The sequence below is a fragment of the Homo sapiens genome, chromosome 11 (genome assembly GCF_000001405.40).
Source record: "Homo sapiens chromosome 11, GRCh38.p14 Primary Assembly".
In the NCBI taxonomy this organism is placed as follows: domain Eukaryota; kingdom Metazoa; phylum Chordata; class Mammalia; order Primates; family Hominidae; genus Homo; species Homo sapiens.
The window spans coordinates 5285154-5293165 of record NC_000011.10 but is presented as its reverse complement, the minus strand read 5'-3'; the positions used below and the strand labels follow the sequence as shown (position 1 = coordinate 5293165).

The 8012-nt window shown below is 39.3% G+C and overlaps 1 pseudogene, besides 41 other annotated features; it reads left to right on the top strand.

Annotated features, from left to right (window-relative positions):
- Nucleotides 1-8012: part of a biological region, named in NCBI's record as "beta-globin locus control region", that runs on past both edges of the window. NCBI's record gives its function as "regulatory_interactions: HBB | HBBP1 | HBD | HBE1 | HBG1 | HBG2 | LOC107133510 | LOC110006319".
- Nucleotides 815-1699, top strand: OR51AB1P (olfactory receptor family 51 subfamily AB member 1 pseudogene; annotated as a pseudogene).
- Nucleotides 851-3740: a matrix attachment site, noted in NCBI's record as "EcoRI-BglII pGSE271 fragment b SAR encompassing 5'HS5". NCBI's record gives its function as "associates with the nuclear scaffold" and the evidence as "EXISTENCE:fractionation evidence [ECO:0000100][PMID:3208739, PMID:2559410]".
- Nucleotides 851-8012: part of a locus control region, noted in NCBI's record as "21.5 kb ClaI-BglII fragment from -1 kb to -22.5 kb; includes 5'HS1-5'HS5", that runs on past the window's edge. NCBI's record gives its function as "regulates developmental expression of the beta-globin genes" and the evidence as "EXISTENCE:transgenic organism evidence [ECO:0001131][PMID:3690667]".
- Nucleotides 1042-2288: a transcriptional cis regulatory region, noted in NCBI's record as "1.2 kb HS5 fragment in the HS5-epsilon-p-CAT construct". NCBI's record gives its function as "synergizes with the ERV-9 LTR enhancer in stably transfected K562 cells {active_cell/tissue: K562}" and the evidence as "EXISTENCE:reporter gene assay evidence [ECO:0000049][PMID:9878258]".
- Nucleotides 1042-3695: an enhancer blocking element, noted in NCBI's record as "2.6 kb HS5 HindIII fragment". NCBI's record gives its function as "developmental, stage-specific enhancer-blocking activity in transgenic mice" and the evidence as "EXISTENCE:transgenic organism evidence [ECO:0001131][PMID:14645507]".
- Nucleotides 1042-4051: an insulator, noted in NCBI's record as "3 kb 5'HS5 fragment in the micro-gamma-5 transgene; HindIII-BamHI betaGlb-MAR or beta-MAR fragment". NCBI's record gives its function as "protects an Agamma promoter transgene from position effects in transgenic mice but only when it brackets the transgene; insulates against position effects and confers high levels of copy number-dependent transcription on a polyoma enhancer in stably transfected HT1080 cells {active_cell/tissue: HT1080}" and the evidence as "EXISTENCE:reporter gene assay evidence [ECO:0000049][PMID:8112598]" and "EXISTENCE:transgenic organism evidence [ECO:0001131][PMID:12034837]".
- Nucleotides 1363-2362: a DNaseI hypersensitive site, noted in NCBI's record as "5'HS5, also known as HS5, HSS5, HSV or -21.4 hypersensitive site; not exclusively erythroid; the nucleotide coordinates are approximate for this feature". NCBI's record gives its function as "enhancer-blocking activity" and the evidence as "EXISTENCE:in vivo cleavage assay evidence [ECO:0001075][PMID:2370867, PMID:3879975, PMID:12941700]".
- Nucleotides 1691-1762: an enhancer blocking element, noted in NCBI's record as "h5'HS5 enhancer-blocking fragment". NCBI's record gives its function as "blocks activation of the Agamma-globin promoter by the mouse 5'HS2 enhancer in transfected K562 erythroleukemia cells {active_cell/tissue: K562}" and the evidence as "EXISTENCE:reporter gene assay evidence [ECO:0000049][PMID:11997516]".
- Nucleotides 1691-1762: a protein binding site, noted in NCBI's record as "5'HS5 CTCF-binding oligonucleotide". NCBI's record gives its function as "binds CTCF and is necessary for enhancer-blocking activity {active_cell/tissue: K562}" and the evidence as "EXISTENCE:protein binding evidence [ECO:0000024][PMID:11997516, PMID:12861010, PMID:18461170]".
- Nucleotides 2676-3075: a matrix attachment site, noted in NCBI's record as "393 bp HS5 amplicon showing matrix enrichment in K562 cell EcoRI/HindIII- and EcoRI/BamHI-digested DNA fractions". NCBI's record gives the evidence for it as "EXISTENCE:fractionation evidence [ECO:0000100][PMID:12799453]".
- Nucleotides 3003-3839: an insulator, noted in NCBI's record as "5'HS5A fragment in micro-gamma-5A transgene". NCBI's record gives its function as "protects a position-sensitive Agamma promoter transgene from position effects in embryonic but not adult stage transgenic mice; not copy number-dependent" and the evidence as "EXISTENCE:transgenic organism evidence [ECO:0001131][PMID:12034837]".
- Nucleotides 3027-3066: a silencer, noted in NCBI's record as "(GATA)7 5a sequence". NCBI's record gives its function as "represses HS2 enhancer activity in transfected K562 and HEL cells {active_cell/tissue: HEL | K562}" and the evidence as "EXISTENCE:reporter gene assay evidence [ECO:0000049][PMID:10936858]".
- Nucleotides 3027-3066: a protein binding site, noted in NCBI's record as "(GATA)7 5a sequence". NCBI's record gives its function as "represses HS2 enhancer activity" and the evidence as "EXISTENCE:protein binding evidence [ECO:0000024][PMID:10936858]".
- Nucleotides 4294-7176: an enhancer, noted in NCBI's record as "2.9 kb StuI fragment deleted in the delta-5'HS4 beta-YAC transgene". NCBI's record gives its function as "weakly enhances beta-globin gene expression in day 12 fetal liver in transgenic mice {active_cell/tissue: liver(fetal)}" and the evidence as "EXISTENCE:deletion mutation evidence [ECO:0005510][PMID:17433733]".
- Nucleotides 4581-5315: a DNaseI hypersensitive site, noted in NCBI's record as "5'HS4, also known as HS4, HSS4, HSIV, -18 or -18.4 hypersensitive site; predominantly erythroid; the nucleotide coordinates are approximate for this feature". NCBI's record gives its function as "necessary for high-level beta-globin gene expression and for position-independent activity of the LCR in transgenic mice" and the evidence as "EXISTENCE:in vivo cleavage assay evidence [ECO:0001075][PMID:2370867, PMID:3879975, PMID:3480506, PMID:3690667, PMID:7828582, PMID:1736298]".
- Nucleotides 4688-4716: a protein binding site, noted in NCBI's record as "5'HS4 RUNX1 allele-specific palindromic binding site". NCBI's record gives the evidence for it as "EXISTENCE:protein binding evidence [ECO:0000024][PMID:27492765]".
- Nucleotides 4692-5076: an enhancer, noted in NCBI's record as "SacI-SspI HS4 fragment". NCBI's record gives its function as "enhances transcription of the beta-globin gene in transfected K562 cells; EKLF-dependent activity {active_cell/tissue: K562(+EKLF)}" and the evidence as "EXISTENCE:reporter gene assay evidence [ECO:0000049][PMID:12582237]".
- Nucleotides 4693-4972: an enhancer, noted in NCBI's record as "280 bp SacI-AvaI fragment deleted in the deltaHS4c beta-YAC transgene". NCBI's record gives its function as "enhances gamma- and beta-globin gene expression during definitive erythropoiesis in fetal liver and beta-globin expression in adult blood in transgenic mice {active_cell/tissue: blood(adult) | liver(fetal)}" and the evidence as "EXISTENCE:deletion mutation evidence [ECO:0005510][PMID:2027748, PMID:11545582]".
- Nucleotides 4779-5069: a transcriptional cis regulatory region, noted in NCBI's record as "range from the chr11.792.5 to chr11.792.3 gRNAs in the HS4 region targeted for Mosaic-seq CRISPR perturbation". NCBI's record gives its function as "positively regulates HBE1 gene expression in K562 erythroleukemia cells {active_cell/tissue: K562}" and the evidence as "EXISTENCE:mutant phenotype evidence [ECO:0000015][PMID:28369033]".
- Nucleotides 4799-4828: a protein binding site, noted in NCBI's record as "HS4 CBF1 binding site". NCBI's record gives the evidence for it as "EXISTENCE:protein binding evidence [ECO:0000024][PMID:9727046]".
- Nucleotides 4818-4983: a transcriptional cis regulatory region, noted in NCBI's record as "TAD1.SE1.HS4 sgRNA1-sgRNA3 range targeted for Mosaic-seq CRISPR perturbation". NCBI's record gives its function as "positively regulates HBG1 and HGB2 gene expression in K562 erythroleukemia cells {active_cell/tissue: K562}" and the evidence as "EXISTENCE:mutant phenotype evidence [ECO:0000015][PMID:28416141]".
- Nucleotides 4835-4936: a transcriptional cis regulatory region, noted in NCBI's record as "101 bp HS4 HS-forming element (HSFE)". NCBI's record gives its function as "required for HS4 formation in stably transfected MEL cells {active_cell/tissue: MEL}" and the evidence as "EXISTENCE:reporter gene assay evidence [ECO:0000049][PMID:7828582]".
- Nucleotides 4855-4872: a protein binding site, noted in NCBI's record as "HS4 HS-forming element AP-1/NF-E2 site; oligo 810 fragment". NCBI's record gives its function as "required for HS4 formation in stably transfected MEL cells {active_cell/tissue: MEL}" and the evidence as "EXISTENCE:protein binding evidence [ECO:0000024][PMID:2027748, PMID:7828582]".
- Nucleotides 4855-4872: a protein binding site, noted in NCBI's record as "HS4 HS-forming element AP-1/NF-E2 site; oligo 810 fragment". NCBI's record gives its function as "required for HS4 formation in stably transfected MEL cells {active_cell/tissue: MEL}" and the evidence as "EXISTENCE:protein binding evidence [ECO:0000024][PMID:2027748, PMID:7828582]".
- Nucleotides 4878-4897: a protein binding site, noted in NCBI's record as "HS4 HS-forming element SP-1 site; oligo 840 fragment". NCBI's record gives the evidence for it as "EXISTENCE:protein binding evidence [ECO:0000024][PMID:2027748, PMID:7828582]".
- Nucleotides 4878-4897: a protein binding site, noted in NCBI's record as "HS4 CACC- or TEF-2-binding site; oligo 840 fragment". NCBI's record gives the evidence for it as "EXISTENCE:protein binding evidence [ECO:0000024][PMID:2027748]".
- Nucleotides 4902-4926: a protein binding site, noted in NCBI's record as "HS4 HS-forming element inverted GATA-1 sites; oligo 870 fragment". NCBI's record gives its function as "required for HS4 formation in stably transfected MEL cells {active_cell/tissue: MEL}" and the evidence as "EXISTENCE:protein binding evidence [ECO:0000024][PMID:2027748, PMID:7828582]".
- Nucleotides 4934-4956: a protein binding site, noted in NCBI's record as "HS4 CACC- or TEF-2-binding site; oligo 890 fragment". NCBI's record gives the evidence for it as "EXISTENCE:protein binding evidence [ECO:0000024][PMID:2027748]".
- Nucleotides 4934-4956: a protein binding site, noted in NCBI's record as "HS4 Sp1 binding site; oligo 890 fragment". NCBI's record gives the evidence for it as "EXISTENCE:protein binding evidence [ECO:0000024][PMID:2027748]".
- Nucleotides 4961-4973: a protein binding site, noted in NCBI's record as "HS4 Sp1-binding site; oligo 920 fragment". NCBI's record gives the evidence for it as "EXISTENCE:protein binding evidence [ECO:0000024][PMID:2027748]".
- Nucleotides 4961-4973: a protein binding site, noted in NCBI's record as "HS4 CACC- or TEF-2-binding site; oligo 920 fragment". NCBI's record gives the evidence for it as "EXISTENCE:protein binding evidence [ECO:0000024][PMID:2027748]".
- Nucleotides 7004-8012: part of an enhancer, noted in NCBI's record as "1.9 kb HindIII HS3 enhancer fragment", that runs on past the window's edge. NCBI's record gives its function as "chromatin domain-opening activity in stably transfected K562 cells; synergizes with the HS2 enhancer to allow stage-specific expression of the gamma- and beta-globin genes in transfected HEL and K562 cells {active_cell/tissue: HEL | K562}" and the evidence as "EXISTENCE:reporter gene assay evidence [ECO:0000049][PMID:8662652, PMID:10196210]".
- Nucleotides 7051-7765: a DNaseI hypersensitive site, noted in NCBI's record as "5'HS3.5, also known as HS3.5, HS3b, HS3.2 or secondary HS3; weak and predominantly erythroid; the nucleotide coordinates are approximate for this feature". NCBI's record gives its function as "domain-opening activity" and the evidence as "EXISTENCE:in vivo cleavage assay evidence [ECO:0001075][PMID:3690667, PMID:7828582]".
- Nucleotides 7056-7085: a protein binding site, noted in NCBI's record as "HS3.2 6005 GATA1- and Oct1-binding oligonucleotide". NCBI's record gives the evidence for it as "EXISTENCE:protein binding evidence [ECO:0000024][PMID:11867225]".
- Nucleotides 7056-7085: a protein binding site, noted in NCBI's record as "HS3.2 6005 GATA1- and Oct1-binding oligonucleotide". NCBI's record gives the evidence for it as "EXISTENCE:protein binding evidence [ECO:0000024][PMID:11867225]".
- Nucleotides 7116-8012: part of an enhancer, noted in NCBI's record as "MfeI-HpaI HS2-HS3 enhancer fragment in the HS23ALL construct", that runs on past the window's edge. NCBI's record gives its function as "regulates beta-globin gene spatial and temporal expression in transgenic mice; synergistic regulation by HS2 and HS3 combined" and the evidence as "EXISTENCE:transgenic organism evidence [ECO:0001131][PMID:14636653]".
- Nucleotides 7116-8012: part of an enhancer, noted in NCBI's record as "MfeI-HpaI HS3 fragment in the HS3ALL construct", that runs on past the window's edge. NCBI's record gives its function as "enhances beta-globin gene expression in adult bone marrow of transgenic mice {active_cell/tissue: bone marrow(adult)}" and the evidence as "EXISTENCE:transgenic organism evidence [ECO:0001131][PMID:14636653]".
- Nucleotides 7576-8012: part of an enhancer, noted in NCBI's record as "2.3 kb SpeI-HindIII HS3 fragment deleted in the beta-YAC LCR transgene", that runs on past the window's edge. NCBI's record gives its function as "enhances epsilon-globin expression in the embryonic yolk sac of transgenic mice {active_cell/tissue: yolk sac(embryonic)}" and the evidence as "EXISTENCE:transgenic organism evidence [ECO:0001131][PMID:8692864]".
- Nucleotides 7980-8009: a protein binding site, noted in NCBI's record as "FP1 oligonucleotide; strong GATA-1 binding". NCBI's record gives its function as "binds GATA-1 in K562 erythroleukemia cells {active_cell/tissue: K562}" and the evidence as "EXISTENCE:protein binding evidence [ECO:0000024][PMID:9129054]".
- Nucleotides 7980-8009: a protein binding site, noted in NCBI's record as "FP1 oligonucleotide; strong YY1 binding". NCBI's record gives its function as "binds YY1 in K562 erythroleukemia cells {active_cell/tissue: K562}" and the evidence as "EXISTENCE:protein binding evidence [ECO:0000024][PMID:9129054]".
- Nucleotides 8006-8012: part of a DNaseI hypersensitive site, noted in NCBI's record as "5'HS3, also known as HS3a, HSS3, HSIII or -14.8 hypersensitive site; predominantly erythroid; the nucleotide coordinates are approximate for this feature", that runs on past the window's edge. NCBI's record gives its function as "necessary for high-level beta-globin gene expression and for position-independent and copy number-dependent activity of the LCR in transgenic mice" and the evidence as "EXISTENCE:in vivo cleavage assay evidence [ECO:0001075][PMID:2370867, PMID:3879975, PMID:3480506, PMID:3690667]".

The following is an 8012-nucleotide window of genomic DNA, read 5'->3' as shown; positions in this document are numbered from 1 at the left end:
CTAAAATAATGTGGAGATAATAATGTGTTACTCCCTAAGGCAGAGTGCCCTTCTATCATTCTCTTTCCCTTCCTCTATGTGGCAGAAAGTAAAAGATTCTGAAATGATAAAGTCAATCACAGGAAGGCACCTGGACTCCTGGCCCACTGCTTGGAGGAGAGCACTCAGGACCATGAACATCTGACTGTGACGTAGCAATAAAGAAACCCACGTTTCATATGAAACTGCTTAAAATTAATGGCACAAGTCATGTTTTTGATGTTGCACATTTGTCTTTATTTGTGGCTTGTTTTGCTTCCACATCAATCCACTCAAGGCCTACATTCTGCTATAATGCAATTTCAAGTTCTTTACAGGCCGAGAAAAATGAATCTGAATTCCTGACCTCCAAAAGTGATCAAGATATTTTTAGTTCAGGCTCCAAAATTTTCTCATTTTCATAGGTTTTCCTCGATTGATCATTATTCATGATTTGCAAGGAATCATTCAATGTTTTCTAAATCTATTACTGCATCCTGACACATATGACATTTTAACTATGTTCCAGATTTTTGAATGAAGAGTGTAAATTTTAAATGTTTTCACCACAAAAAATAAGTATGTGAAGTGGTGGATTTGTTAATTAGCCTTATTTAACCATTTAATATTGTACACGTACACCAAAGCATCATGTTGTACCCCATGAATACACACAATTATTATTTGTCAATTTAAAATGAAATAATAAAAAATAACAAAGGCATTAGCCTCTGCATTGCCTTTACCGGTCATCCTCACGGTGACTAACGCAAAAAACGTTCTATTTCATCCTTACAAACATCCCTATCTTTGATGCCTCTTTGTCTAGATCTCTATCCCCTCCTGTTTTCTCTACGTTATTTATATGGGTATCATCACCATCCTGGACAACATCAGGACAGATATCCCTCACCAAGCCAATGTTCCTCTCTATGTTGGCTCAAATGTCCTTGAACTTTCCTTTCACCACCCTTTCCACAGTCAAAAGGATATTGTAGTTTAATGCCTCAGAGTTCAGCTTTTAAGCTTCTGACAAATTATTCTTCCTCTTTAGGTTCTCCTTTATGGAATCTTCTGTACTGATGGCCATGTCCTTTAACTACTATGTAGATATCTGCTACTACCTGTATTATGCCTCTACCTTTATTAGCAGAGTTATCTGTACTGTTGGCATGACAATCATTTGTTAATATGACTTGCCTTTCCTTTTTCTGCTATTCTTGATCAAATGGCTCCTCTTTCTTGCTCCTCTCATTTCTCCTGCCTTCACTTGGACGTGCTTCACGTAGTCTGTGCTTATGACTGGATTAAAAATTGATATGGACTTATCCTAATGTTGTTCGTCATAATATGGGTTTTATGGTCCATTATTATTTCCTATGCATTGATCTGGAGAAGGCTTCAATCCTTTTACTCTTTGTGGAAAATATCTGTAAACCTTCTGGTTCACTCTGCTATAGCAATTTCAGTTTAGGCTAGTAAGCATGAGGATGCCTCCTTCTCTGATTTTTCCCACAGTCTGTTGGTCACAGAATAACCTGAGTGATTACTGATGAAAGAGTGAGAATGTTATTGATAGTCACAATGACAAAAAACAAACAACTACAGTCAAAATGTTTCTCTTTTTATTAGTGGATTATATTTCCTGACCTATATCTGGCAGGACTCTTTAGAGAGGTAGCTGAAGCTGCTGTTATGACCACTAGAGGGAAGAAGATACCTGTGGAGCTAATGGTCCAAGATGGTGGAGCCCCAAGCAAGGAAGTTGTTAAGGAGCCCTTTTGATTGAAGGTGGGTGCCCCCACCTTACAGGGACAGGACATCTGGATACTCCTCCCAGTTTCTCCAGTTTCCCTTTTTCCTAATATATCTCCTGATAAAATGTCTATACTCACTTCCCCATTTCTAATAATAAAGCAAAGGCTAGTTAGTAAGACATCACCTTGCATTTTGAAAATGCCATAGACTTTCAAAATTATTTCATACATCGGTCTTTCTTTATTTCAAGAGTCCAGAAATGGCAACATTACCTTTGATTCAATGTAATGGAAAGAGCTCTTTCAAGAGACAGAGAAAAGAATAATTTAATTTCTTTCCCCACACCTCCTTCCCTGTCTCTTACCCTATCTTCCTTCCTTCTACCCTCCCCATTTCTCTCTCTCATTTCTCAGAAGTATATTTTGAAAGGATTCATAGCAGACAGCTAAGGCTGGTTTTTTCTAAGTGAAGAAGTGATATTGAGAAGGTAGGGTTGCATGAGCCCTTTCAGTTTTTTAGTTTATATACATCTGTATTGTTAGAATGTTTTATAATATAAATAAAATTATTTCTCAGTTATATACTAGCTATGTAACCTGTGGATATTTCCTTAAGTATTACAAGCTATACTTAACTCACTTGGAAAACTCAAATAAATACCTGCTTCATAGTTATTAATAAGGATTAAGTGAGATAATGCCCATAAGATTCCTATTAATAACAGATAAATACATACACACACACACACATTGAAAGGATTCTTACTTTGTGCTAGGAACTATAATAAGTTCATTGATGCATTATATCATTAAGTTCTAATTTCAACACTAGAAGGCAGGTATTATCTAAATTTCATACTGGATACCTCCAAACTCATAAAGATAATTAAATTGCCTTTTGTCATATATTTATTCAAAAGGGTAAACTCAAACTATGGCTTGTCTAATTTTATATATCACCCTACTGAACATGACCCTATTGTGATATTTTATAAAATTATTCTCAAGTTATTATGAGGATGTTGAAAGACAGAGAGGATGGGGTGCTATGCCCCAAATCAGCCTCACAATTAAGCTAAGCAGCTAAGAGTCTTGCAGGGTAGTGTAGGGACCACAGGGTTAAGGGGGCAGTAGAATTATACTCCCACTTTAGTTTCATTTCAAACAATCCATACACACACAGCCCTGAGCACTTACAAATTATACTACGCTCTATACTTTTTGTTTAAATGTATAAATAAGTGGATGAAAGAATAGATAGATAGATAGACAGATAGATGATAGATAGAATAAATGCTTGCCTTCATAGCTGTCTCCCTACCTTGTTCAAAATGTTCCTGTCCAGACCAAAGTACCTTGCCTTCACTTAAGTAATCAATTCCTAGGTTATATTCTGATGTCAAAGGAAGTCAAAAGATGTGAAAAACAATTTCTGACCCACAACTCATGCTTTGTAGATGACTAGATCAAAAAATTTCAGCCATATCTTAACAGTGAGTGAACAGGAAATCTCCTCTTTTCCCTACATCTGAGATCCCAGCTTCTAAGACCTTCAATTCTCACTCTTGATGCAACAGACCTTGGAAGCATACAGGAGAGCTGAACTTGGTCAACAAAGGAGAAAAGTTTGTTGGCCTCCAAAGGCACAGCTCAAACTTTTCAAGCCTTCTCTAATCTTAAAGGTAAACAAGGGTCTCATTTCTTTGAGAACTTCAGGGAAAATAGACAAGGACTTGCCTGGTGCTTTTGGTAGGGGAGCTTGCACTTTCCCCCTTTCTGGAGGAAATATTTATCCCCAGGTAGTTCCCTTTTTGCACCAGTGGTTCTTTGAAGAGACTTCCACCTGGGAACAGTTAAACAGCAACTACAGGGCCTTGAACTGCACACTTTCAGTCCGGTCCTCACAGTTGAAAAGACCTAAGCTTGTGCCTGATTTAAGCCTTTTTGGTCATAAAACATTGAATTCTAATCTCCCTCTCAACCCTACAGTCACCCATTTGGTATATTAAAGATGTGTTGTCTACTGTCTAGTATCCCTCAAGTAGTGTCAGGAATTAGTCATTTAAATAGTCTGCAAGCCAGGAGTGGTGGCTCATGTCTGTAATTCCAGCACTTGAGAGGTAGAAGTGGGAGGACTGCTTGAGCTCAAGAGTTTGATATTATCCTGGACAACATAGCAAGACCTCGTCTCTACTTAAAAAAAAAAAAAAAATTAGCCAGGCATGTGATGTACACCTGTAGTCCCAGCTACTCAGGAGGCCGAAATGGGAGGATCCCTTGAGCTCAGGAGGTCAAGGCTGCAGTGAGACATGATCTTGCCACTGCACTCCAGCCTGGACAGCAGAGTGAAACCTTGCCTCACGAAACAGAATACAAAAACAAACAAACAAAAAACTGCTCCGCAATGCGCTTCCTTGATGCTCTACCACATAGGTCTGGGTACTTTGTACACATTATCTCATTGCTGTTCATAATTGTTAGATTAATTTTGTAATATTGATATTATTCCTAGAAAGCTGAGGCCTCAAGATGATAACTTTTATTTTCTGGACTTGTAATAGCTTTCTCTTGTATTCACCATGTTGTAACTTTCTTAGAGTAGTAACAATATAAAGTTATTGTGAGTTTTTGCAAACACAGCAAACACAACGACCCATATAGACATTGATGTGAAATTGTCTATTGTCAATTTATGGGAAAACAAGTATGTACTTTTTCTACTAAGCCATTGAAACAGGAATAACAGAACAAGATTGAAAGAATACATTTTCCGAAATTACTTGAGTATTATACAAAGACAAGCACGTGGACCTGGGAGGAGGGTTATTGTCCATGACTGGTGTGTGGAGACAAATGCAGGTTTATAATAGATGGGATGGCATCTAGCGCAATGACTTTGCCATCACTTTTAGAGAGCTCTTGGGGACCCCAGTACACAAGAGGGGACGCAGGGTATATGTAGACATCTCATTCTTTTTCTTAGTGTGAGAATAAGAATAGCCATGACCTGAGTTTATAGACAATGAGCCCTTTTCTCTCTCCCACTCAGCAGCTATGAGATGGCTTGCCCTGCCTCTCTACTAGGCTGACTCACTCCAAGGCCCAGCAATGGGCAGGGCTCTGTCAGGGCTTTGATAGCACTATCTGCAGAGCCAGGGCCGAGAAGGGGTGGACTCCAGAGACTCTCCCTCCCATTCCCGAGCAGGGTTTGCTTATTTATGCATTTAAATGATATATTTATTTTAAAAGAAATAACAGGAGACTGCCCAGCCCTGGCTGTGACATGGAAACTATGTAGAATATTTTGGGTTCCATTTTTTTTTCCTTCTTTCAGTTAGAGGAAAAGGGGCTCACTGCACATACACTAGACAGAAAGTCAGGAGCTTTGAATCCAAGCCTGATCATTTCCATGTCATACTGAGAAAGTCCCCACCCTTCTCTGAGCCTCAGTTTCTCTTTTTATAAGTAGGAGTCTGGAGTAAATGATTTCCAATGGCTCTCATTTCAATACAAAATTTCCGTTTATTAAATGCATGAGCTTCTGTTACTCCAAGACTGAGAAGGAAATTGAACCTGAGACTCATTGACTGGCAAGATGTCCCCAGAGGCTCTCATTCAGCAATAAAATTCTCACCTTCACCCAGGCCCACTGAGTGTCAGATTTGCATGCACTAGTTCACGTGTGTAAAAAGGAGGATGCTTCTTTCCTTTGTATTCTCACATACCTTTAGGAAAGAACTTAGCACCCTTCCCACACAGCCATCCCAATAACTCATTTCAGTGACTCAACCCTTGACTTTATAAAAGTCTTGGGCAGTATAGAGCAGAGATTAAGAGTACAGATGCTGGAGCCAGACCACCTGAGTGATTAGTGACTCAGTTTCTCTTAGTAGTTGTATGACTCAGTTTCTTCATCTGTAAAATGGAGGGTTTTTTAATTAGTTTGTTTTTGAGAAAGGGTCTCACTCTGTCACCCAAATGGGAGTGTAGTGGCAAAATCTCGGCTCACTGCAACTTGCACTTCCCAGGCTCAAGCGGTCCTCCCACCTCAACATCCTGAGTAGCTGGAACCACAGGTACACACCACCATACCTCGCTAATTTTTTGTATTTTTGGTAGAGATGGGGTTTCACATGTTACACAGGATGGTCTCAGACTCCGGAGCTCAAGCAATCTGCCCACCTCAGCCTTCCAAAGTGCTGGGATTATAAGCATGATTACAGGAGTTTTAACAGGCTCATAAGATTGTTCTGCAGCCCGAGTGAGTTAATACATGCAAAGAGTTTAAAGCAGTGACTTATAAATGCTAACTACTCTAGAAATGTTTGCTAGTATTTTTTGTTTAACTGCAATCATTCTTGCTGCAGGTGAAAACTAGTGTTCTGTACTTTATGCCCATTCATCTTTAACTGTAATAATAAAAATAACTGACATTTATTGAAGGCTATCAGAGACTGTAATTAGTGCTTTGCATAATTAATCATATTTAATACTCTTGGATTCTTTCAGGTAGATACTATTATTATCCCCATTTTACTACAGTTAAAAAAACTACCTCTCAACTTGCTCAAGCATACACTCTCACACACACAAACATAAACTACTAGCAAATAGTAGAATTGAGATTTGGTCCTAATTATGTCTTTGCTCACTATCCAATAAATATTTATTGACATGTACTTCTTGGCAGTCTGTATGCTGGATGCTGGGGATACAAAGATGTTTAAATTTAAGCTCCAGTCTCTGCTTCCAAAGGCCTCCCAGGCCAAGTTATCCATTCAGAAAGCATTTTTTACTCTTTGCATTCCACTGTTTTTCCTAAGTGACTAAAAAATTACACTTTATTCGTCTGTGTCCTGCTCTGGGATGATAGTCTGACTTTCCTAACCTGAGCCTAACATCCCTGACATCAGGAAAGACTACACCATGTGGAGAAGGGGTGGTGGTTTTGATTGCTGCTGTCTTCAGTTAGATGGTTAACTTTGTGAAGTTGAAAACTGTGGCTCTCTGGTTGACTGTTAGAGTTCTGGCACTTGTCACTATGCCTATTATTTAACAAATGCATGAATGCTTCAGAATATGGGAATATTATCTTCTGGAATAGGGAATCAAGTTATATTATGTAACCCAGGATTAGAAGATTCTTCTGTGTGTAAGAATTTCATAAACATTAAGCTGTCTAGCAAAAGCAAGGGCTTGGAAAATCTGTGAGCTCCTCACCATATAGAAAGCTTTTAACCCATCATTGAATAAATCCCTATAGGGGATTTCTACCCTGAGCAAAAGGCTGGTCTTGATTAATTCCCAAACTCATATAGCTCTGAGAAAGTCTATGCTGTTAACGTTTTCTTGTCTGCTACCCCATCATATGCACAACAATAAATGCAGGCCTAGGCATGACTGAAGGCTCTCTCATAATTCTTGGTTGCATGAATCAGATTATCAACAGAAATGTTGAGACAAACTATGGGGAAGCAGGGTATGAAAGAGCTCTGAATGAAATGGAAACCGCAATGCTTCCTGCCCATTCAGGGCTCCAGCATGTAGAAATCTGGGGCTTTGTGAAGACTGGCTTAAAATCAGAAGCCCCATTGGATAAGAGTAGGGAAGAACCTAGAGCCTACGCTGAGCAGGTTTCCTTCATGTGACAGGGAGCCTCCTGCCCCGAACTTCCAGGGATCCTCTCTTAAGTGTTTCCTGCTGGAATCTCCTCACTTCTATCTGGAAATGGTTTCTCCACAGTCCAGCCCCTGGCTAGTTGAAAGAGTTACCCATGCAGAGGCCCTCCTAGCATCCAGAGACTAGTGCTTAGATTCCTACTTTCAGCGTTGGACAACCTGGATCCACTTGCCCAGTGTTCTTCCTTAGTTCCTACCTTCGACCTTGATCCTCCTTTATCTTCCTGAACCCTGCTGAGATGATCTATGTGGGGAGAATGGCTTCTTTGAGAAACATCTTCTTCGTTAGTGGCCTGCCCCTCATTCCCACTTTAATATCCAGAATCACTATAAGAAGAATATAATAAGAGGAATAACTCTTATTATAGGTAAGGGAAAATTAAGAGGCATACGTGATGGGATGAGTAAGAGAGGAGAGGGAAGGATTAATGGACGATAAAATCTACTACTATTTGTTGAGACCTTTTATAGTCTAATCAATTTTGCTATTGTTTTCCATCCTCACGCTAACTCCATAAAAAAACACTATTATTATCTTTATTTTGCCATGACAAGACTG